A 25,156-nucleotide genomic window follows, 5' to 3' on the forward strand; every position below is an offset into this window, starting at 1 on the left:
TTAAGAATGAGTATGGAAGTGACAGTGTGATTATGACTGATTTTTATTTTATTCTTTATACTTCCCTGTGATATTCAAATTTTCTATAATGAACTTAGAGTTCTTTTATGATAATGTAAATTATATAGAGAAGCATGCTTCCATTAGCAATTCTGTTTTTAAATTATTTTTGTTAGTTATACTGGAATTAAAAACTCATTCAATACATTAAATGTAACATTCTTAAATGCTGAGGGTATATATACTCCCAGCTGCTTTTAAAATGAAGTTGTAATTAGATGGAATAAGAGAATTGAGACTACAAAAGCTCTCTGAAGGTAATAGCAAAGGCGTAAAATACCCTATTTCAAATATTGTGAAATACTGTATGAATGGCAATCTTTGGGATGTATTTTACAAAATACCACACATATAAATTAAAACTTGACTTTAGATCCGCTCGTAGGTTTTAATACAAATAAGCAAACCAATAATGAAAATAAGATTATAGAGGCAACAGTGCACCTGCCAAGGAGAATATATTTTCTTTTCTTTTTTCAAGACAGAGTCTCACTCTGACACCCAGGCTGGAGTGCAGTGACACAATCACAGCTCACTGCAGCCTCAATCTCCAGAGCTCAAGTGATCCTCCTACCTCAGCCTCCAAGTATCTGGGACTGTAGGCACATGCCACCACGCCTGGCTAATTTTTTTTTATTTTTTATTTTTTAGGGATGGTGTTTCACTATGCTGCCCAGGCAGGTCTCAAACTCCGGGACTCATGTGATCTTCCCACCTTGGCCTCCTGAAGTGCTGGGATTACAGGCTTGAGCCACCACACTGGGCCTATACCATTTTCAAATAGTGGAGCCATCCATTACATATTTGTAACATATGTGTTGATTAACAATTAATACTCTTAGTTCCAAGCTCCATTTGGCAATATAAAATAAATGGAGGGTTTGCTCACATCTGATGGATATGACTTTCTCTGTGAAGACTGAAGCAAGATCATCTGAGTGTAAGGAGGCAGTATAAGTTCGGAAATTAAGGAAGGTAGAGATGCTTAAGGTAGCTTTGCAGAGAATAGGAGCGCATGTCCACCAGACAGATGTTATAGAATTGCCATGGCTTGAAGTTTGAAACCCAGCTGTGGATGATTGAGATGATTCATGTATTTAATGATACTAATAGAATGATACCCGTGAGCAAGCTGGATTCCTAGGATGCAAAAAGAAAATAGCTTTATTCTTCACCTTCAACTGCCCATTTGAATCTTCTTTTAGGCCAGTTCTTTTCCCCTCCCCAACTTCAAATGAAATAATAGAAAGGTCTTTGGACTCTCTGATCATCTCAGATAATAAAATGCCCTCTGGTCACTTCAGTTCCAAACCACAACCTCGGTTTATAAATTAATCTGCCCAGAAACTCCCAACTTCATCGTAGGCTTGGCAATGCTTTAGACTAAGGGGCCTATAGTGGGGAATGAGATACCCATCTCTGTGTTCCCTTTAATGCTACTTCTCCATGACCCTGACTTTGTTTCCCCAGCACTTAGCTACCAATGGGTCTTCCAGGATGGGAAGCAGAGACAGCAGGAAGGGAAGAGGAAGAAAGGTCTTATTTGACCTACATAGGTATAAGCTGGTGTAGCTGCCCTCTGGCTCTGGCTGATGTTTCAAGCTGACTTTTATGCTCTCATCTCAGTATCTGTAGCCTCCTCAGACACTCACCTTCTGGACCTGTCCAACTGGAATTCCTTCACTCAGGTAGTGCCTCCCCTTTAAGCAGCTGTTTACAATCTCCCTCTACTTCTCCATCCAGTGAAACCTTCAACCTCTTTTTGTCAAGGACACCTCATCCATTCCAGGAAGCCCTCTGGGTTAGAATTCCTTATAAAACAACTCAGACTCACATTCCTACTGTGGATTTTATTTGGTCCCCAGAAAAATACAACTTTGGCCTGGCATAAGCCAAAAAGTGCTTACTTCCTAAGTGCAGCCCTCTGCTGTGCTGATACTGTTCACTTCAGCCAGCCTCTCACTCAAAGGCTTTCTCTTTTGGCATAAGTCAATTCCTGCCCGTGTCTCCAAGTTTCAAAAGATACCTAACAAGATCTCTTTGAAGTTCTCACATGATGGAGGGTCTGGGGATGGGGTGGTAAGGAGTGTCAAATAGGAAGAATTCACAGCTAAAGGTAAAGTACAGATCACAAAACCTATTTTCATGCACGTTCTTTAGAAGTCTTTGATAGATGGGCTAATACTTTGCCTTGGAATTTGACAGTATTTGGCATCTTTGGTTTTGGGGCCCAGTGAAAACTAGAACGAAGAGTTCTATTTTAACTCTATCTTCCTTCTGTGCAATTTCTCCGGTACTGTTCAGCCTCCTAGTAGAAGAGAAAGATGGTTGGGTCTAAGTTGTATCAAATAGAAATGATAAAAAATAGAGTAGCAAGGGGCTTTGGGCTCTGGCAAGAGTGACTGAATTGATGCATCATAGAATCAAACTGGAGAAGGAAGAAAGGAAGAAGATTAGTGGCCTAAAGGGCTCAGGAAGTTGGAGAATGTAGAAATAGTTGAGTAAACATTCTGGAAAGATACTTTAACAGCTGATTGGCTAAAGGAAAGGGAAACGAGATACAGTGGAATGGTCTTTGGGATTTGGAGCCTTATGGATGAGACAGATTATGGAATCATTCACAGGATTAGAGTACTGGGGAAGAGAACTGGTTTTCAGGGCATAATGATAAACTTCATTTTGAATAAACTGAACAGGAGAGGATAATGAGACATCTAAGTGGCATAGAGGGCTGGAGTTCAGAAGAAACACAGGATTCAAGATATGCCTTTCAGAGTGAAGACCAGAAACATTATTGGGGGTCAGGATTCAGTGATACCTCCAAAGGAGAAAATGTGAAGACTGAAATGCAGGGGTTGAGGACCATTTTGTTAAAGGAAAGGGTATAATGAGAACCTGTTAACACAGAAGAAATGGAGTTCTCTGTCATTCAAGACAAAGAGCTGCATCTGAGTCAAGGTAATCTGCTCTGAATAGTGCTTCATCCAAAAATATCTCCTCTTTTTTTCCCAATCATCTTTATTGTCTGGTTATGCAAGTAAACCTTCTACCTCTTAAGCCTCAGGTTCCACATCCATAAAATGAATACAATATTACTATCTACCTTCCATGGCTGTGATGAGGATATAGTGAGGCAAGGGGTGATATGCCTGGCACAGAGTACAAACCCAACCAATGTGAGCTACCCTTATCATTGTCATTATTATTATTCGTCACATTTGCCTCTGTTTAATCAATAATCATTCCTTTACAAGATGAGTATCCCAAACTTACTTCCAAATACTTTGTCATTTTTTTCACTCCTCACTTAGCCTTTCTGTCTGATTCAAATGGCACGGGGAAAGAGAGAATGACTCAAACATCACAGATTGCTGTTACCCTGGCATGGTTAAGATAATTATGTCGCCATCAGGATACTGGTTTGACTCTGAAGTCTCATGTTCAGTGGTTACTGTTTCCTCTCAGGGACTGTGCTTAAGGTTTAGAGAAATCGTCGTCATCTAGATGATCGTTGCTCAATTGAAACATTTATTTGCTATATTAGTTTTCTATTGCTGTGTAACAAATTTAATGCCTTTAAACAACACCCCATGTATTAGCTCACAGTTCTGTAGGTCTGAAATCTGGGCACCACATGGCTGAAATCAAAGTGTAAGTTGTGCTGTGGTTCCCCTGGGATGCAAGACCCTCCTACAAGCTCATAGTTGCTAGAATTCAGTTCTGCGTGGTTGTAGGACTAAGGTTCTGTTTTCTTAAGAGCTGTTGGCTGGGGATCTCTCTCAGTTCCTAGAGGCTGCTCCTCTCCATCAGCAATTCGCTACATAGCTGTATGCTTTCTTCCAGGCCAGCAATTACATTTCTCTCTGATTTCTTCCTCTGCTACCAGTCAGAGAAAATGCTCTGCTCTTAAAGGACTCACCTGATTGGTGCAGGCCACCCAAGACAACCTCCCAATTGCCATAAACATCACAATTAAGAGACTGATACCTCATCAGATTCCTATCTTCCACCTACACTCAAAGAGGAGGAGATTACACAAGGGCAAGGGTGGTTGGAGGCCATCTTAGAATTCTGTCTACCACATTTACTTATGGAACAGCGTTTATGCCCTAGGCATTGCACAAAGCACTGTAGGGACAAAGATACATTACAGTTGCCTTTGAGATGTTCATGCTGTAGTCCAGCACTATCAAATACAGAAGCCATTAACCACATGTGGCTACTGAGCATTTGAAATGTGATTGATCTAAATTGTGCTGTGCTGTAAATGTCAAATGCACAGAGGATTTCAAAGAATTAGTAGCAAAACAGACTGTAAAATATCTCATTAATATTTGTGTAATGACTACATATTAAAGTGATAACATTTAGGAGATGTCGATTTAAATAAAATATATTATTAAAATGAATTTCATCTGTTCTGTTTACTTTTGTAAAGTGTCTACCAGGGAACTTCCAATCACATAAGTGGCTCGCATTATGTTTCTATTGGACAGTGCTGGTCTATGTCAAGAAAAACAATAATCACTTCAGAGTGTACTAGGTGCCATAACAGGAGAAGCCAGCAGTGTTTTGGGGTCACAAGAGGGAGTGGTCAGTTTAGCTGGGGAAGAGAGTGAAAATAGGAAAGACTTCAACTGCTTGGTTTCCCATTCATAGCAGACAAGGTAGAGCCTGATTTTCTATGCAAAAAATCCTTTCCCAAGAGATAGAAATTCTTTATATAAAACTGCAGAGTAATTACTAGAGACTTTTTATTTTAGAAGGCACAATTCAGAGCAAAATTTTAAAACAAATACAAATGCCCAAATGCACATTAGCACTTCTCTGACAAACTTTTAACTGTTCTGCCTCCGCCTGCACCTTTCTTGTCTTTCTCTTGGACACCAGCAGGCAGCTAATTCCCTCTCTCTGAGCTACTTTGTAGGGTCAAAACTTCCAGTTGCTCATCACAAAGAGCAGCCTGTCTTCAAAATTCCTCATAAGCAGTGATTCTCTGGCTTTTGATCTCTCCAATAGAGGGCAGCTATTACCAGCTTAATTGGAGTGTAATTACCTTCTCGGCCCTCCCACTTAGTTCAAAGAGGTCTCTTTGGCTTCCTAGCTTATGACAAATCAGAAAAAGAAATATTGAAATGTGATCTATAAAACTTTTTTCTATGGTGGCTTTTTGTCCCATTGGGAGTTTCTCTATCAGTTTTTGTTGTTGTTGTTTTTGGACTAGGCCATACTTCCCATAAGGACCCACGTGAATATTTTGTACTCATTAGACAAATACTTTTACACGCAAATAGTTAATACTTGTTAAGTACATGCTATGTATTAGATGCCTTGCTAAGTACATCCTCTCATTTAATCTTTTCAGCTCAAAAAGGTAACAATAATAACATAATACTAAAAGTTAGAGTGCTTGCTATATGCCAGGTACTTTTCTAATCTCCTTTTATTTGTGATGAGTTAATTTAAGGAGTTAAGGCTCAAGTGAGCTAAGAGATGGGAAATGCTAAGAACAGTGTCTAGCACTAAGTATTCAATAAATGTTAATTAATATTTAATCCTCGCAAAGACGCTGTGTCATAAAAAATATTGCTATCATTCCTATTTTACAGATAAGTAAACTGAGGCTTAAAGAGCTTAAGGTCCTTGCCCTAGATCAGTTGTTCTCAATCTTTAATGTGCCCCAAATATCATCTGGAGGGTTTGTGAAAACACAGATTGCTGGGCCCCACCCCGAGATTCTCATGCAGTAGGTCTCCAGCAGGCCTTGGGGATTTGCATTTCTAACAAGTTCCCCAGTGATGCCCATGATGCTGCCCAGAGGAGCTCACTGCTCTAGATCATTGAGTTAATAAAGATTTCACCCCTGGCTGGGCACGGTGGCTCATGCCTGTAATCCCAGCACTTTGTGAGGGGGAGGTGGGTGGATCACCTGATGTCAGGAGTTTGAGACCAGCCTAGTCAACATGGTGAAACCCCATCTGTACTAAAAATACAAAAATTAGCCAGGCATGTTTGTAGGTGCCTGTAATCCTAGATACTTGGGAGGCTGAGGCACGAGAATCGCTTGAACCCTGGAGGCAGAGGTTGCAGTGAGAAGAGATTGCACCACTGCACTCCAGCCTGGGCAACAAGAGAGAAACTCCCTCTCAAAAAAAAAAAAAAAGAAAAAGAAAGATTTCACCCCAGCTCTTCATACTCTGCACGAGTATTCAACACTCTCTCTTTGTCAGGTTATATTAATGGAGCTTGAAATGTCTAACATTCAAGCTAATGTCAGAACATAGACAACTTTAAGTAAACCATAAAAGATTTTAAAGAGACAGTAGAAAATGACTGGCTTACATCAGATATTGGAAAAGTCTGAACCAAACAGAGCATCAGCTCTCTTTCTAAGGAGCATGCCATTCATAGATTCTCATGAATAAGGGTACTTTGCTCACTTCCAGCAACTCCATTTTTTAAAGTTTTCTGTTTTAGCAACTCATAGATGAGTTTTAGCTACCCATGTATGCTGGCAAAGCTGAGTATTATCTTTCCTGGCTATGTATGTAGATGGACCGTGGCATGTAACTTATGGCTTGTTTGTGTAGAAGAGTGATACACAACACCTTCATGAGAAGTGTTTTTCTGCAGAGAGGAAAGGAGCGCTGTGGGATTGAGAGGAATTTACAATGCTTTTAATTAAAAACCAATGTTTTTGTTCTTAAAAAAATTTTTGAAGCAATTCTAGCAAAATGTTGGTATTTGTTAAAACTGACTGGTAAGTACACAGGCATTTATTATACTCTTCTGGATATTTTTCTAAATCTTTGAAATGTTTTATAACTACATATTTTTTAAAGGCCCAAGGCCTACTATTTACTACAAAAAAATAAAAACGACAAAAACACAGGGAGCACAAGCAGATACAGCCCCAGCTCCCACAGGAGTCACTGCCCCCTGAAGGAAGGAAGTAGCCCATAATCAAATAATCATAGATAGGCACATAGTTACAAACTGCGATCAGTTTTACAAAGCTAAGGGCTGGAGTGCTATGAAAGCTTCTAACTCTGGTACCTGACTAGGACTCCAAGTCAAGGAATGCTTCTCAGAAGAAGTGGAAATTCAGCTATGAGCCAAAGGCTACATAGGTGTTTACTAGGACACGTGGGTTAGGGCACAAAAAGAACTATCAAAAGGCCAGGTGAGGCCAGGCACAGTGGCTCACACCTGTAATCCTGCACTTTGGGAGGCTGAGACAGGGGTATCATTTGAGGTCAGGAGTTTGAGACTAGCCTGGCCAACACGGTGAAACCCCGTCTCTGCTAAAAATATTAAAAAATTAGCTGGGCATGGTGATACACACTTGTAATCCCAGCTACTCAGGAGATTGAGCCAGGAGAATCACTTGAACCAGGAGGTGGGGAAAGAAAAGAAAGGAAAAGAAAAGAAAAGAAAGAGAAAGAAAGGAAGGAAGAGAGAGAGAGAGAAAGAGAGAGAGAGGGAGGGAGAGAAGGAGGGAGAGAGGGAGGGAGGGAAGGAAGGAAGGGAAAGAAAGAAAAGAAAAGAAAAGAAAGAAAGGAAAGAAAGAAAAAGAAAGAAGGAAAGAAAGAGAAAGAAAGAAAAGGAAGGAAGGAAGGAAGGAAGGAAGGAAGGAAGGAAGAGAAAGAGAAAGAAAGAAAGGAAGGAAGGAAGGAAGAAAGAAAGAAAGAAAGAAAGAGAAAAAGAAAAGAAAAAAGAAAAGGGAGGGAGGAAGGGAGGGAGGGAGGGAGGAAGGAAGGAAGGGAAAAGACAGAGAAAGAGAGGGAGAAAGAAGGGAGAAAGGGACAGAGAGAGAGAAGGAAAGAAAGAAAATAGAGTGGAACTACAAATGTTAAACCTTGAGTATTAAGGATCTGTTCTATAACCAGTGTCACAATGGCAAACTAACTCTCCAAAATAGGGGGGAAACATGTAATAAATCAGAAGAAAACTATGATTTCAATCTAACCTTGAGTTTATAAATCTCATTCATTCTTTGCTTCCTTATGCGTAGAATGAGGAATCCCTTGCAGGGATAAAACCTTCATTATTTTATGAAATGAAATGAGGTCTTTTATGATCAAGATTTAAATTATGTTCATTAACGGTTATAGCTTTCTAGTTTCATTGTCAGGGCGTGGGGACACAAAACATCTGCCATCTGCTTGCTAGTGGTTGCTGACTCGTAAAATGGCATTTTCCCTCTTCTCTTTACATAATCATCACTGAGACTAGTTAAGTGATTTGACTTTGCCTTTTTAACACCTAGTCTTGAGCCTACTGTGAGGAGTCATCTAATAAGTCAAATATCTGTATAACTACTGTAAGCATTTTTTATATCCAAATTTTTTTTCCTCCAGGACCTAAGATTAATTCTACCATTAAAATTTTAAGTACCTGATTTTCTAGAGCCTCTCTAGGTACTGGCTTACTGTATGCAATTGTCTGAGGTCCTCAGGCATCCCTGGCTTTCTAAAGAAGTTGAAAAGAAAAACATAATAATAATCAGGGCTGATGCTATCTCACTAATCCCAGTTTGGTACACCATAGCTGTTTTCAATAGCTTTTATGCTTCAGGTTATACAGAAAGTAGAATTTTCCAATTACAATTTTTTTTTTAAGACTGCAATGCAAGAGTGGTCCCTTTGACAAAGGAGATTCTTAGGCAGAATCTCCCAGCGTCATTGACAATGGGCCACAATAATTTCTCTTCTAAAATATTCCTACATGATTCGTTTATTGCACTAAATAAAAGTGAATGGTGGCACATGCTCACATGGAATATCATTTGAAATCTCTCCAAGGGCTTCTTATTACTTTAAAAACACCCCATTACAGTAATTTATTGTTACACCTTATTCACTCGTGCTTGCTTCAAGGGCTGTAATTAGAACCTGGAGAGCCATCCAGGGGCACATGGCCATAGGTTGGCCATATTGCTCCAAGAGACTTTCTAAATTTTTATTATGGACATGAATTTTCAAACATACCCCAAATTAGAGAGAATAGCACAATGAACCAACATGTACCCAACACTCAGCTTTGATAATTATCAATTCATGACTTTTCATGATCTCACCACCTTTCCATTCACTCAATCATGTTTTAGATTCCAGAGAGGCTTTCAAAGGAAGTCGTGGAATCTTCTGTGGCAATAACAACCATTCACATTCACTCCCGGAGATGTAGACTTTCTTGTGGCCTTACAGATTGATCACAGCCATCAAAGGAGGAATGAACACGTTTCCTGAGGCACTCTATTTACATACTCAGGGTTTTTCATCAATCATGTAAAAGAGAGTTACATTTTCAGGTCAAAGTGACTCATCAAGCCAGAGGGGTGAGTCATGGAAGACATATGACGCTTTCCAGTTTAACCTGCTGTGCGACTATGAACACCTGTAACAGTCATCTTGCCATAAATCTCTCCCTGACCTTTCTGTGACAAGAGAAACTGCTACCAAATCCTGAATCCTACCTGTATAGTAAGAAATGATTTCAGTGTTTATTGCAGAAATCTTCTATTTGGAGAATTTAAATTTAAATCAAATTCAGAGGCAAATTCATATCTTACTTTAGAAGTAAAGCAAATCATTGGAAAAAGCACTGGGGGAGAGAGATTGAGATAGAGAAAGAGAGAGATTCTCTTTCAATCAGCAATTCTGTGTCTATTAGTTTTTCTTGAAATAAGCAAGTCTTGAAAGATGTATGTACTGGGTGTTTATTGCAGTAGATTGAATATTACGAAAATATTGAAAATTATCCAAAAATCTAAGGCTATGAAACTTAATTATGGAATATTCATACAATGAAATATTATGAAGTCTTGAAGAATGATAGGAAATTGTGATATATTGTTTTAAAAGTTGTATCTTCAATAAATAGTGAAAAGAGGAAGATATCAGAAAAACCTACAGATTAAAAGAGACTTATGAAACTTTTTTTTTAATGGGGGAGACAAGTTCTCACTCTGTTGCCCAGGCTGGAGTGCATAGTGTGATCATGGCTTACTGCAGCCTCAACTTCCTGATCTCAAGTGATCCTCCTGCCTCAGCCTCCCAAGCAGCTGGGACTATAGGTGCACACTACCATGTCCAGCCAGGAAACATATTAACCAGTTGCAATGTACTGCATTGCCCTCATAAGTCTAAGCATGCACACATACAGAATATTAAGGAAATGTAAACACTGACCAATTATTGAATTATACTATGGAATTTTTATAATTATTTTTAAGTGTGATAATGGTTTTTTTTTTAGTTCTATATTTTAGAGAAAAAATACTATGCTGATTGGAGAATGTAAAGATATAGATGAAACAAGATTGAGGAAGTTTGAAAGTTTACTATACACTTCTCTCTACTTATGTACATGTTGAAAATGATCCATTTGTTAAAAGGTTTTTTTAAGTTATAAAACAGTGTGTATACTGTGACCCTATTTGTTAATTATTTTAATATCTTTTTTCTTATTCTTCTATAAAAGACATGACAATATTTTGAGGTAAAAATACTTTTTACTTATTCATGTATTTATTTTTTGAGATAGGGTCTCACTCTGTCACCCAGGCCTGAATGCAGTGGCATGATCTTGGCTCACTGCAGCTTCTGCCTCCCAGGTTCAAGCGATTCTTCTGCCTCAGCCCCTGAGTAACTGGGATTACAGGCATGAGCCACCATGCCTGGCTAATTTTTGTATTTTTAGTAGAGACAGAGTTTCACCATGTTGCCCAGACTGGTCTTGAACTCCTGACCTCAAGTGATCCGCCCGCTTCGGCCTCCCAAAGTTCTGGGATTACAGACGTGAGCCACCACACCTGGCCCAAACATACTTTTTATAATAAATAAGTAATTTGACAACTTGAACTGATTTACTCTAGCCATTAATCTCTCAAAATTTGCTGTTTTCCCATTATATCTAATATACTACTGAGTTTACAGTTCATAAACTATTAAAAATGACAGCGTGAGATGGACTCACATGTTGTCTCAAATTAAGATCTTCTATTATCATAAGGCCCATCCATCAGTTGTGAGGTGACTTTTATCCTGTGGCCAGGGAGCCTGATAATTCATGCCTGGGGCAAGCAAGGAGATCAGGACAACTCACGCGAAACCCCGGACTTTCCAGTTTTCATACAAAGCTGGACTTTCATAAACAAAACAAGGAAAGAAACTGAGCATCTTAACAGGCGAATTTAGGGGAAAAAACAAACAAACAAACAAACGTCTTTTTTATATAAATGATTTGAGTAATTTAGAAAAATTTTAAGGGCCATTTTGCCTAAATTAATAAGAAAATGTGATTGCTCCAGGTACCAATTTTGCTCTTTTAAGATGGCCGGGTTTACCTCAGCTCTCAGAAAAAAAAACAAATCATCCCACCGTAACATTTTCACACTCCTAAAATAAGCTTTAAATTTTATTTATTTATTTATTTATTTATTTATTTTTGAGACAAGGTCTCTGTTTCACTCAAATTGAGTGTAGTGGCATGATCGTGGCTCACTGCAGCCTCTAACTCCTGGGCTCAAATGATCCTCCCAACTCAGCCTCCCAACTAGCTAGGACTGCAGGCACGCAACACCACATCTAGCTATTTTTTTTATTTTTTGTAGAGATGGGGTCCCACTGTGTTGCCCAGGTTGGTCTCAAACTCCTAGATGCAAGTGATCCTCCTGCCTCAGCCTCCCAAAGGGCTGGATTACAGGCCTGAGCCACCACACCCAGCCAAGTTTTGAGTGGGCCTTCCTGAAAGTGAAAGTGAAAGTGACTGTGTGCATATACAATGGAATTGGAATAAATTAAATGTAATGAACTTCTCACATCAGCCTCTGTTGATGGGTGGGCTGTGCTATGTACTTGCTCTTGCTTAAAGACCCAACCACACATCCTGTGTGCAGGAAAGACAGCAGTTTGGAAATTGCAGGACTGTGATTCTGCTCATGCCCTCCAAGGCTCCAAACTGTTTGACTAGAAAATTCTGCTTTGCTTCTGGTGTTGGTCTCCGCTTGCTAGGTCTCTCAACTGCAGGCCCTGAGCCCTATCTCAGGTAACTAAGTTCTGCCCCACTCAACTTCTGAGTCCAAGTTCATCATCTGTCCAGAGTGAGTCTTTGCCACACCAGAGTAGGGTGGAGTGGGCCTTGCTACCCTGCCCTGTAGCCAGATGGGTGCTAGGTCTGGAGGCTTCTCCCCTGACCCCTTGTCATTCACAATAGCACCTCGGGACTTCTGTTTTGGTTTTCTGAATGTTCCCCTGGCCCATACCCAGGGGGAAGCCCACAGTCTCAGCCCCCTAGAAGTGGCCCCTTTTCATCCTGTAGTAACCACAGGCTGAGGTCTGATTCCCTTCATAAGGGACCACCTGAAACTACACTGCCCCCTCCTGGATGCCATTCCTCTTGCTATGACATCCATGCAAGCAACTGGCCGCCCCCCTCCACATGAGACACCCAAAAATTTTCTTGGGATGGGATTGAACTCTAATTTGCTATACCTGTAAAACATAATTAGGACCGTAGGGTATGCCTCAGTGGTAATACAGAAGCAGGAGCCGACTGATAAATTTTCAGGATTTTTGCAAGTTGGACTGTTAAACACCCCCAGTATTAAAATTTGAGTCATATAAACTTTTAATTAATCTATACTAAAAATAAAGGTCATACTCAAAACTCATCACTTCTTATCTTACTACATTTTACTACTGTCTATGCTCTGAGTTATTTACATTGACTGTAGTGTTATTTGTATGACTGTAGTGTTATTTGTATGGTGGAAATTACTCCACTTATCAAATCATGGTTGAATTGCAACCATCGGTTGGCTATGGAGACAAGAGTTCAGTAAAAATCAATGAAAGCATTCTGTGAGAGTCAATTGGCCATATGGGACTTAAAATAAGGGTATTGCATATTTTATTATTATTTATAAATGGCATGCTACTCATCCTTTTTTGTATCAATAAAATTTATAAGTTGATGTATTTTATTTTCCAAAGAGCCTATTGTTAAGCATTTCCCAGCACACCACTGTATCCCATCTACCGGACTGTGAGCCCAGTTCTATGGTCTCATCCACAACTTCGGTTCTGCTCACCTCCTGCACTGACTTTGAGACTGTTGGAGAACAGGAGGCTCATACCCAACCCACTCTTAATTTATCTCATCCATGTGGCAGGACATCCATTAGCATAACACACCTGGCTTCGGCTCCCCGCCACACTCCTCTAGGCAAACTGACTTACCCGGTTGGTGAATTTGGAAGAAAAACTGTGTCATATATAGCTTAGCTTTTTTCCTTTTCTTAGGAGCTACCCGCAGGAGGGGCATCTTTCTCCAGAGGCAAAGCCTGCCTTGTTCTGGTGTTGCCTGAGGCTGATGGGCAAGTTGGTCAAATCCCAAAGTTTAGTTGATAAGAACTGCACTTGCTTGAAGATAGAAGCTATGCTTTCCCAAGTAGCATTGATCAATAAGGAGCTACCTGCAGGTAGCAGGTATGTTGGCCTCCATCTGCTGACTGCTTGGCTTTATTTCTCAATTGGCTCAAAAATTGAATGGAGAAAAGGAGTGCTCTTTATTGGCCCCCTTAGAAACTCCACAGTGGTCCTCTCCCATCAGCCTTTGTTCCTGAGGTCCCAGAATGCCTTGTGGCCGTGCCCATATTTCTTGGCACACATAAGCTCTTTCTGTCTTTCTTTTTTTTCTTGAGACAGAGTCTCACTGTCACCAGGCTGGAGTGCAGTGGCACAATCTCAGCTCACTGCAACCTCCGCCTCCCGGGCTCAAGCGGTTCACCTGCCTCAGCCTCCCAAGTAGCTGGGACTACAGGCACGTGCCACCACACCCAGCTAATTTTGGTATTTTTAGTAGAGACGGGGTTTCACCATGTTGGCCAGGATGGTCTCGATCTCTTGACTTGTGATCCGTCCACCTCAGCCTCCCAAAGTGCTGGGATTACATGCATGAGCCACCATGCTCAGCCATTAGCCCTTTTTAAAAGAAGAAAAACCGACTGGCAAATTTATTTTATTCTAATCCCTTTATTCTCAATATGTACATGTAATAATCATAACGTTTACACAATTGAGCCCCTTTTATATGTTAGATATTGTACATACAAATAGCAAATAGACCTTGGAAAACAAGTGTTATTATCACTTTACAGATGAGGAAATTATGTCCTAACGTGTTTAAGTAACTTGCTCGGGGTCACAAAGTGACTGAGCCAGTTGTCGGATGCCAAGGCCCTTGCTCTTTCCATTACAATTTCCCTCCCTTCCCTTTATCTTTCCTCCACCCCCATTCTTCCAATCTTCCTTTCTCTTCTCTCTCTTGCCCTCTCTTCTGCCGAGCCCTGTATGACTACCATTCCTCATTGCCACATTTTCTAGCCCTTTAACATGTCAGAAAATTGAAGAAGCATTTGAAACCTCAGATATTTCAGTATATTTAAAAATATCTACAAAATCTTACCCCAGCAGCTGGGCCCCTAAGAAGCCTGGCAGCAAGCAGTAGGAAAACTGTGGCTGTGTTTTTAATATCCTCCTCAGGTTTCTCAGGAGGAATGTCCAGCATCCCATTCGAGGTCCTGGGGGAGAAGGTCACAAAGAAACCAGTACATACAGAGAGAGAGGCCACAGGACTTCATCAAGCTGGGGTCTGCCCAGGCATGACCTGGGAGCTGGGCCCTGTGTGAAAAATGCAGCCTTTCCTCAGATGGAATGTGTGCCCGTCACCTCTGAATCAAGGTTTCTTTCCCTGGGGTCAATAGTTGTGTAAATAGCTCAGGGACTGAGCAAACAGTTTAGCAATTACTTGGGGAATGACTGAGAGAAGAAGAAAATATGTACATATCATGCATTCTCAATCAGGTAGTATTGCCCCCAATGGGGTGAAAATTGGTTCTTGAGAACTCAAAAAAATACACAGTATATCTATGATATTAAAATTTCATAGAGGGGTTGATTAAGAAAAACATGTCTTAACCGGCTCCTTAGGAGAGCAATGATTTTTTTAATGGTTGAAAAACATAGATGAATATAAAGAACTTAACATAGCATGTGACACATAGTAGGTATTCAATACATGAGAAATGTAGTTGCTATTATAGTCATTAGTCGTTATTATGATTGTTCTACAAACTCATTAGAGAAATCATCCAGACCCATCATAGTTAGGGCAGAGAAGGTTGTGCTGTGCCAAGTTCACAGATGAAGCTAGCTTTTGGCGGATTTTGCCTGAGCTAGAGGTCAGAACTGCCCAGGGTTCTAGAAAACAGAAAGATTCTTGCACACTGCTGGGATGAGCAGAAACATTTGTGTACACAGTGTTAAAATAAAATTTAAAAAGTGGGGCATGGCATGAATGTTTAGGCTGTGTTCAGACTTTCACAATGCCTGCTATCATCCTCTGGGGAAAGGACATGATTAAGGCATGAATGTAGGGTTGGGGAAAATGCTGGGCAACTTCTCATACATGCTGCATGTGCTCTGCAGGTTTGTAAAAACCTAAATATCTAATGAATATTGTTTTTGTTTTTGGTTTTTTTTTTTTTTTTTTTAGGCAGAGTCTTGCTCTGTCACCAGGCTGGAGTGCAGTGGCACAATCTTGGCTCACTACAACCTCCCCTTGCCGGGTTCAAGCGATTTTCCTGCCTCAGCCTCCCGAGTAGCTGGGACTACAGGCGCCCACCACCACGTCTGGCTAATTTTTAGTATTTTAGTAGAGATGGGGTTTCAGCATGTTGGCAAGGATGGTCTCCATCTCCTGACCTCATGATCCGCCCGCCTTGGCCTCCCAAAGTGCTGGGATTACAGGCGTGAGCCACCGTGCCTGGCCCCCAATGATTATTCTTAAAACCTATGTTTGTATGACTCTCAGTGTACAAATGTACACTTATTTAAGTGTAAATTAATTAAGTGTAATTAAATAAATTTTAAAATGTAAATTATCAACAATTGTGGAAAGCAGTGTAGTGATTCCTCAAAGAACTAAAAACAGAACTACCATTCGACCCAGCAATCCCACTCCTGGGTATATACCCAAAGGACTGTAAATCGTTTTACCATAAAGACACATGCATGTGTATGTTCATTGCAGCACTATTCACAAGAGCAAAGAATCAACCTAAATGCCCATCAGCAGTACTCTGGATAAAGAAAATGTGGTGTATACACACCATGGAATGCTATGCAGCCATAAAAAAGAACGAGATCATGTTCTTTGCAGGAACATAGATGAAACTGGAGGCCACTAGCCTTAGCAAAATAATGAAGGAACAGAAAACCAAACACCACATGTTCTCACTTATGAGTGGGAGCTAAACAATAGGAACACATGGACATGTAGAGGGGAACAGCAAGTACTGGGGTTTACTTGAGGGTAGAGGAGGGGAGAAGGGAGAGGTTCAGGGAAAAAAAAAATGTTGGGTACTGGGCTTAGTACCTGATTGACAAAGTAATCTGTACACCAAACCCCCAACTCAGGAGTTTACCTATATAACAAACCTGCACATGTACCCCTAAACCTAAAATAAAAGTTAAAATATTTTTTAAAAAGTGGTTTCCCATATAATATCTTATGAAATCATCATAATAACCCTGCAAATTCAGTATTAGATCCCTACCTGAAGGATGAGGAAGCAGAGGCTCAGAGTCCTCTCAGTTATTTGTTCTTTTTAGCTACCCAGTAGTAAGTATCAGAGCAAGCTTTATTTCTACCGTACTCCACCACCTCTTTAAAATCCCTTTCCCACAGAGGAGGAGGACATAGGAAATGCTAAAGCTATGGAGCAAAAGCCACATATTGGGACTTGGGGACTCCCTGGTAAGGGATACGATAGTGCCTGTAAGTGGACATAACCAAACCATGTAAGAAGTGGGTATTATGTTCATGGAGTATGAATCTAGCATATGGCAGAACCTACTGAGGCTGGTCAAAGTCATCTACTGCCAAGTTATAGGGAAATGAAAACCCATTAAAATAGAATATGGAAGCATCACAAGGTGCTGTGAAGCTCAGGACATAAAAGACTTAGGAGCACATTGAGAATAAAAATATAATATGAAAAATCAATGACTAGGTACACAGTTGGTGCTGGAGTTTATTTTAAGGCCATAGCTTCAAATGTAGGAATGATGGCTATTTGGCTAAGAGTGGAGAGAATTTTTCAAAGACTGAAAAGAATGTGTTTAGTCAGAGACTAACTCATCTGGCCAGAAGGGCTGTAAATGGAAAACAGATGGGAAAGGAGAAAAAAACACCTAGATAAAACTGAAACGGGTTTCCATGGATGATATTAAGGAGGGCCTGGGAAGAATTTCAACAGTGAGGGAGGTGCCGCATAGTTCAATGAGAAAACAGCTGGGAAGGACATCAGAAACAAAACATAGGCAGCAGATGTCCAGATATCATGCACAGAACATGAGCAACGTGGTAACCTTGAGATTACAGCACAGGGTGACAAACAAGACCTCACAGATACCACTGAGAGTTGGCGGGCTGGAACAGATCCATGGGAACATAGTGATAGAAGGGTGTGCTGTGTACAAAAGACCTGTTGAGAGGAGGAGAAGCTGCACTGTAGGCTGTGATAACAATAGATTGAGAGGAATCTCTGAACACTTGGATGAAGATGAAAGGACAGAGGAACACAAGTGACGTTTTTGTGGAAGCACAGCTGAGCCACATGGAGGAAAGCCACAAAATTGGCACAGTACCCACAATTAATGAGGATAAGATTCAGGATACTTCATTCAGATAAAAGCAGAGGTTTTCACTTGCCTCTCTAACAATTTTATGTCCTAGAAGGTAGAGGAAGGAATAAAAACAACTGTGCTCTGACTGATTCCAATCCTTAGGAAGAAGCCACCTGGCAAAGTGGAAAGGATGAGAACTAGAGAATGTGCCTGTCATCTTCAGGGGAGAGCCTGATGGAGCTAGAACAAAGGTGGATACAGGACTTCAGGAAGTTAGACTCCAAAATATTTTAAGAAAATATGGCGGCCAGGCGTGGTGGCTCACGCCTGTAATCCTAGTACTTTGGGAGGCTGAGGCGGGCGGATCACAAAGTCAGGAGATCGAGACCATCCTGACTAACCTGGTGAAACCCTGTCTCTACTAAAAAAAAGAAAAAGAAAAAGAAAATATGGCATAATTCCACAAGTTTCTAGAAAAGGAAACAGTATCAACAAGCACTCAAAAGCATGGCTTTGGATAATTCCAATGAGAAGACAAGAGAGAAGGGGAGACTCTCAAAGAAACTAGTGATGGCAGAGCCCTTTAAGCAAGGACGTAGAATGGATGTTCAAAAAGATGGAGGTAGGTGATCACTGCATGAGAGTGGCAAAGAACAACAGAAATAGTAGCAGGGATGTTAATATCCTGGAAGGATCAAAGCATGCAAAAATGGGAAGGACCAGAGAGAGTGTTATGGGGCCAATGGGATTACAATAATGGATGGTAGAAAGTATGCACTATTTCTCAAATGATGTCACATTCTTTTAGGCCCTGTCGAGGACCGTGATTGTAGGACTGAAAAGGTTGTACAAAAGTGAATACGTGTATGTTGAAATTCAAGTTTGGGGAAATGTTACTGATCCTTTTTGAAATCTAATCTAGGATCAAAGTTTCTGGTCCACAGTCTGGGAATCAAAGAGTATACATTTGCTGATTTTCAAACGTTCTTATTCCTAAGTATTATGAATCGCATTTCAGCAAGTTGATCTTCAAATTCATCTTGCAGAAGCTTGGGAGTGAGCTTGGGAGTGTAATTCATTTGGGTGAGAAGAACTGATTCCATTTTTCGATCATCTGCATATTCTCTTTTATTATCAGAATTTTTCAACTGGATATGTCCAGCTGAAAGCTTAAAACTAGCTAACTAGCTGCAGAAGGACAGTTTCCAAGGTCCTCAGCAGGATGCTGTGTGTATCTCTAGGTAAAGAAATGTTACTTAATTAAGGTATTCTATCTTTAAGAAAGCAAATTGCAATGTGTTGGAGTTTCTTAAGAACTTTTAGAGTGGCTCTTCATTAAAGAACTACTAAAAGTGCTTTTATAATGGTTATGGAATTTTCCTCTAATTAGTACACCATTTCATAAAGTTCAAGAACAGGCAAAACTAATCTGTGAGGATAGAAACCATAATAGTGATTGCCAGGATAGTTGGGAGGGAGTGATAGAATGAAAAGGAACACTAGTGAACTTCCTAGGATAATGGCACACTCTATTTTTCTATTGGGGTATGGGTTATATGGGTATATGCATTGGTCAAATCTCATTATTGTATGTTAAACTGTCACTGTATGTCATTACACCTCTGTAAAAATACATACAAGTATATAAATCTGGGCAGTTATATGAAAAGAAAAAGAATAACTTTTCTCCTGTGACTTGACAGTAAATAAATGAAGTTAACATAAACAGTTAAGGAATCAGATAAAAAGCAGAATCTCCGAGTTTGAAATCAGCAGTGTTCCCTAAGTAGATTTGGGAAAGTGTAAGTCTTACCAACACCCTCAAGTTGTTAATTTTCTATTGGCAAGGTCTTCCGTATGGAGAAAGTGGTGCATTGCTACTTTCTATCCTGGTTCCACTGGCACTAGGTACCAGTGATTTCCAAACTTCCATGCACATAAATATCGCCTTGGATACTTGTTAAAAATGCAGACTCTGGGCCCATATCTGGAGATTCCTATACAGTAGCTTTGGCTGAGTGTCGAGGATTTGCATTTTAATGATCATCCTTGATGAGACTGATGTAGGTGGTCCATGGACCTACACTTGGAGAAGCATTTCATTAGACAATCAAATCATAAAACTACCACCTACTTGCTCTAATTTTAGGCTCTCCAGACAACCTTCTGATAATAAAGCCTTTTTCCATGGCTTCATGGAGAAAATATGTTGCTTATATCACCCTGTATTCCAGCCCATGTGCTAGCATTCTTTCTCATTCTAAATAATAAATAGGCATTGGCTTTGTATCCCAGTCTGAGGAGCTTGCTAAATATTGGTTTGCCCCGATAGACGGATGTGCTTACTATGTGATACTGAAAAATCATGCCTCTGGGCTTGCAAGAGACAAAAATATGATTTGTGCTAAATTTACAGAGATAAAGAATATTTCCAAAATAGGATCTCTTTTTAAAAACTCTGTGCCTAACATCATAATGACTATTATATTCTTTTTAAAGTAATTGGACTTAACAATAAACAGGTATATATAAATATAACATTTGACTTAACAATAAACATGTATATATAAATATAATGTTTGACTTAACAATAAACATGTATATATAAATCTGTTTTCATTTTAAAGAAATCAAATGAATCTTTTAATAATGTATATTGTGGTTCATTTTTATGATTCAAAATAAATGTTTATTATTGAAATTTGGGGAAAATGGAAATGTATTTTTTAAAAATCACCTGTTCTACTACCCTGAGCTAACCATGGTTAACATTTTAACTTTTTTTCCTTCAAGTCATTTTTCTATGTCTTTATGTACATGTATTTATTATAGTGGTGGTGGCAGCGGTGGTTTATTACTTTACAAACCTGGGATTATGCTTAATAAGTATAATTTCCTAACATGATATAATTGTATCACATCTTAACATGATTTGCTCTCCTCTGATCTAATTTTATTTTTCTTCTTAGGGCACTTATCACAAAAGTGATATATTTGTTTGCTTATTTATTTTTTGTCCTTTCCTGCAGGTGTGATCCAGAGAACATGCCTTTCACTGTGAAAACCAGCACCTTCAAGGCCAGGCGCAGTGGCTTGCGCCTATAATCCCAGCATATTGGGAGGCCGAGGTGGGTGGATCACCTGAGGTCAGGAGTTCAAGACCAACCTGACCAACATGGTCTACTAAAAATACAAAAATTAGCCCGGCATGGTGGCGGGCGCCTATAATCCCAGGTACTCGGGAGGCTGAGACATGAGAATAGCTTGAACCAGGGAGGCGGAGGTTGCAGTGAGACGAGATCACACCATTGCACTCCAGCCTGGGCAACAGAGCAAGACTCCATCTCAAAAACAAACAAACAAACAAACAAAAACACCACACAAAACCAGCACCTTCCACAGTGTCTAGCATACGTTAGTCACCAAAACAGGTTTGCTAAATGAACAAATGAATGAATGGCATTTTATGTGTCAGTAAATATGCTTCAAAATCATGATGTATGATGAGTAAGCAACTCTATCAAATAAATATAACGTAATTTGCTGTGAGCACATAATTTGCTGTGTTCTAGTATTGAACAGTTGGACTATTTCCATATTTTAATTTTTACTATTATGTTTGAGGATGATATATAAATCTTTTTTTTTTTTTTTTTTTTTAGCTTTTTTTTTTTTTTTTTTTTTTTTATTTATTTTTAATTTTTTTTTTATTGATAATTCTTGGGTGTTTCTCACAGAGGGGGATTTGGCAGGGTCATGGGACAATAGTGGAGGGAAGGTCAGCAGATAAACAAGTGAACAAAGGTCTCTGGTTTTCCTAGGCAGAGGACCCTGCGGCCTTCCGCAGTGTTTGTGTCCCTGATTACTTGAGATTAGGGATTGGTGATGACTCTTAACGAGCATGCTGCCTTCAAGCATCTGTTTAACAAAGCACATCTTGCACCGCCCTTAATCCATTTAACCCTGAGTGGACACAGCACATGTTTCAGAGAGCACAGGGTTGGGGGTAAGGTCACAGATCAACAGGATCCCAAGACAGAGGAATTTTTCTTAGTGCAGAACAAAATGAAAAGTCTCCCATGTCTACTTCTTTCTACACAGACACGGCAACCATCCGATTTCTCAATCTTTTCCCCGCCTTTCCCGCCTTTCTATTCCACAAGGCCGCCATTGTCATCCTGGCCCGTTCTCAATGAGCTGTTGGGCACACCTCCCAGACGGGGTGGTGGCTGGGCAGAGGCGCCCCTCACCTCCCGGACGGGGCGGCTGGCCGGGCGGGGGGGGCTGACCCCCCCCACCTCCCTCCTGGACGGGGCGGCTGGCCGGGCGGGGGGCTGACACCCCCACCTCCCTCCCGGACGGGGCGGCTGGCCGGGCAGAGGGGCTCCTCACTTCCCAGTAGGGGCGGCCGGGCAGAGGCGCCCCTCACCTCCCGGACGGGGCGGCTGGCCGGGCAGGGGGGCTGACCCCCCCCACCTCCCTCCCGGACGGGGCGGCTGGCCGGGCAGAGGGGCTCCTCACTTCCCAGTAGGGGCGGCCGGGCAGAGGCGCCCCTCACCTCCCGGACGGGGCCACTGGCCGGGCAGGGGGGCTGACCCCCCCCACCTCCCTCCCGGACGGGGCGGCTGGCCGGGCGGGGGGCTGACCCCCCCACCTCCCTCCCGGACGAGGCGGCTGGCCGGGCGTGGGGCTGACACCCCCACCTCCCTCCCGGACAGGGCGGCTGGCCGGGCGGGGGGCTGACCCCCCCACCTCCCTCCCGGATGGGGCGGCTGGTCGGGCGGGGGGCCGACCCCCCCACCTCCCTCCCGGACGGGGCGGCTGGCCGGGCAGAGGGGCTCCTCACTTCCCGGTAGGGGCGGCCGGGCAGAGGCGCCCCTCACCTCCCAGACGGGGCGGCTGGCCGGGCGGGGGGCTGACCCCCCCACCTCCCTCCCGGACGGGGCGGCTGGCCAGGCGGGGGGCTGACCCCCCCACCTCCCTCCCGGACGGGGCGGCTGGCCGGGTGGGGGGGCTGACCCCCCCATCTCCCTCCCGGACGGGGTGGCTGGCCGGGCTGAGGGGCTCCTCACTTCCCAGTAGGGGTGGCCGGGCAGAGGCGCCCCTCACCTCCCGGACGGGGCGGCTGGCCGGGCGGGGGGCTGACCCCCCCACCTCCCTCCCGGATGGCACGGCTGGCCGGGCGGGGGGGCTGACCCCCCACCTCCCTCCCGGATGGGGCGGCTGGCCGGGTGGGGGGCTGACCCCCCCCCACCTCCCTCCCGGATGGGGTGGCTGCTGGGCGGAGATGCTCCTCACTTCCCAGATGGGGTGGCTGCCGGGCGGAGAGGCTCCTCACTTCTCAGACGGGGCAGCTGCCGGGCGGAGGGGCTCCTCACTTCTCAGACGGGGTGGTTGCCAGGCAGAGGGTCTCCTCACTTCTCAGACGGGGCGGCCGGGCAGAGACGCTCCTCACCTCCCAGACGGGGTCTCGGCCGGGCAGAGGCGCTCCTCACATCCCAGATGGGGCGGCGGGGCAGAGGCGCTCCCCACATCTCAGACGATGGGCGGCCGGGCAGAGACGCTCCTCACTTCCTAGATGTGATGGCGGCTGGGAAGAGGTGCTCCTCACTTCCTAGATGGGATGGCGGCCGGGCGGAGACGCTCCTCACTTTCCAGACTGGGCAGCCAGGCAGAGGGGCTCCTCACATCCCAGACGATGGGCGGCCAGGCAGAGACACTCCTCACTTCCCAGACGGGGTGGCGGCCGGGCAGAGGCTGCAATCTCGGCACTTTGGGAGGCCAAGGCAGGCAGCTGGGAGGTGTAGGTTGTAGTGAGCCGAGATCACGCCACTGCACTCCAGCCTGGGCACCATTGAGCACTGAGTGAACGAGACTCCGTCTGCAATCCCGGCACCTCGGGAGGCCGAGGTTGGCGGATCACTCGCGGTTAGGGGCTGGAGACCGGCCCGGCCAACACAGCGAAACCCTGTCTCCACCAAAACCAGTCAGGCGTGGCGGCGCGTGCCTGCAATCGCAGGCACTCGGCAGACTGAGGCAGGAGAATCAGGCAGGGAGGATGCAGTGAGCCGAGATGGCAGCAGTACAGTCCAGCTTCGGCTCCGCATGAGAGGGAGACCGTGGGGAGAGGGAGAGCGAGAGGGAGACGGAGAGTGAGAGGGAGACGGAGAGGGAGAGGGAGAGGGAGAGGGAGAGGGAGAGGGATAAATCTTATTTATAAAAAGAGTTCATATTTCTGAATATCTCCTTAGGATTAATTCCTAGAAGTAGATTTATTATGTCAAAAACGATGACAGTTCTAAAGACCTTTTACACATATTGCCAAATAACTTTCCAGGAATACTGCCTATTTATATGTCTATAAGCAGCACAAGAAAATCTCCATCTCTTTGTATCTTTACTTACATTGAGTATTGCCACATTAATACAAATCCTGGCCAATTAAATAAGTCAAAAACTGTATCCCTTTGATATTTGAACTGATTAGCAAGATAACAATAAAGAGTATTATCTTACTATGTTACATATGAAAGATTATTGCAATTAAAGTAGTTTTTGCTTTGTTTTTTAATAGATATATTATAGATATTGATGTTATTAAGCCTTTTTTTTTTTTTTTTTGAGACAGAGTCTCCCTCTTGTCTCCCAGGCTGGAGTGCAATGGCTCAATCTCAGCTCACTGCAACCTCCGCCTCCCGAGTTCAAGCGATTCACTGGCTAATTTTTTATATTTTAGTAGAGACAGGGTTTCATCACCATGTTGGCCAGGCTGGTCTGGAACTCCTGACCTCAGGTGATCCTCCTTCCTGGCCTCCCAAAGTGCTGAGATTATAGGTGTGAGCCACTGCACCCAGCTTAAGTCTTTTAACTTTATAATTTATTCCTTATTTTGTGCTCAGAAAGCCATTGCCTATCTTGAGATAAGGTAAATACTCACCTCTACTTCTTGCTAGTTGTTTAAAGGTTTCATTTTTCACACGTAAGTCCCTCATCTGTTTGGAATGATTTTAGTCTATGGTATAGGATATAAATCCAACTGATTTTTTTTTCATTTAATTAATGGTCCCAATATAATGTAACCAAGTAATCTTCCTTTTCTTTATTTGATTGTCACTTTCATCACATAATCTTTTTCAATATTCAATTTGTTCCATTTTGTCCCAGCATCACCTTGTTTGGCATTTTCCAACTTCATATGAAGGTTAAATATTTAATAAGGCATATTGCCTCAAATTATTTCCTTGTAAGTTCCATATGTGATAACTAATATGTTGTTATCACTCCTGTTGAGTTTGAATACTGGTGAAGTGGAATGCTTTTTTATTTTTTATTTTTTGTCTATTTATCTATTTGAGATAGGATCTCGCTCTGTCACCTAGGCTGGAGTGAAATCGGACGAT

General features: G+C 42.4%; 3 annotated features.

Annotated features, from left to right (window-relative positions):
* Nucleotides 8,916–10,115: an enhancer, noted in NCBI's record as "P300/CBP strongly-dependent group 1 enhancer chr9:110005805-110007004 (GRCh37/hg19 assembly coordinates)". NCBI's record gives its function as "activates an origin of replication core promoter dependent on BRD2, BRD4, P300/CBP, MED14 and CDK7 cofactors, with strong dependence on P300/CBP, by STARR-seq in HCT116 cells {active_cell/tissue: HCT116}" and the evidence as "EXISTENCE:reporter gene assay evidence [ECO:0000049][PMID:35650434]".
* Nucleotides 14,192–15,158: an enhancer, noted in NCBI's record as "NANOG-H3K27ac hESC enhancer chr9:110011081-110012047 (GRCh37/hg19 assembly coordinates)". NCBI's record gives its function as "activates a minimal SCP1, AML or CMV promoter by ChIP-STARR-seq in primed H9 embryonic stem cells {active_cell/tissue: H9 hESC(primed)}" and the evidence as "EXISTENCE:reporter gene assay evidence [ECO:0000049][PMID:30033119]".
* Nucleotides 23,800–24,339: an enhancer, noted in NCBI's record as "H3K27ac-H3K4me1 hESC enhancer chr9:110020689-110021228 (GRCh37/hg19 assembly coordinates)". NCBI's record gives its function as "activates a minimal SCP1, AML or CMV promoter by ChIP-STARR-seq in naive H9 embryonic stem cells {active_cell/tissue: H9 hESC(naive)}" and the evidence as "EXISTENCE:reporter gene assay evidence [ECO:0000049][PMID:30033119]".

Source organism: Homo sapiens, chromosome 9 (assembly GCF_000001405.40).
Source record: "Homo sapiens chromosome 9, GRCh38.p14 Primary Assembly".
In the NCBI taxonomy this organism is placed as follows: Eukaryota; Metazoa; Chordata; class Mammalia; order Primates; family Hominidae; genus Homo; species Homo sapiens.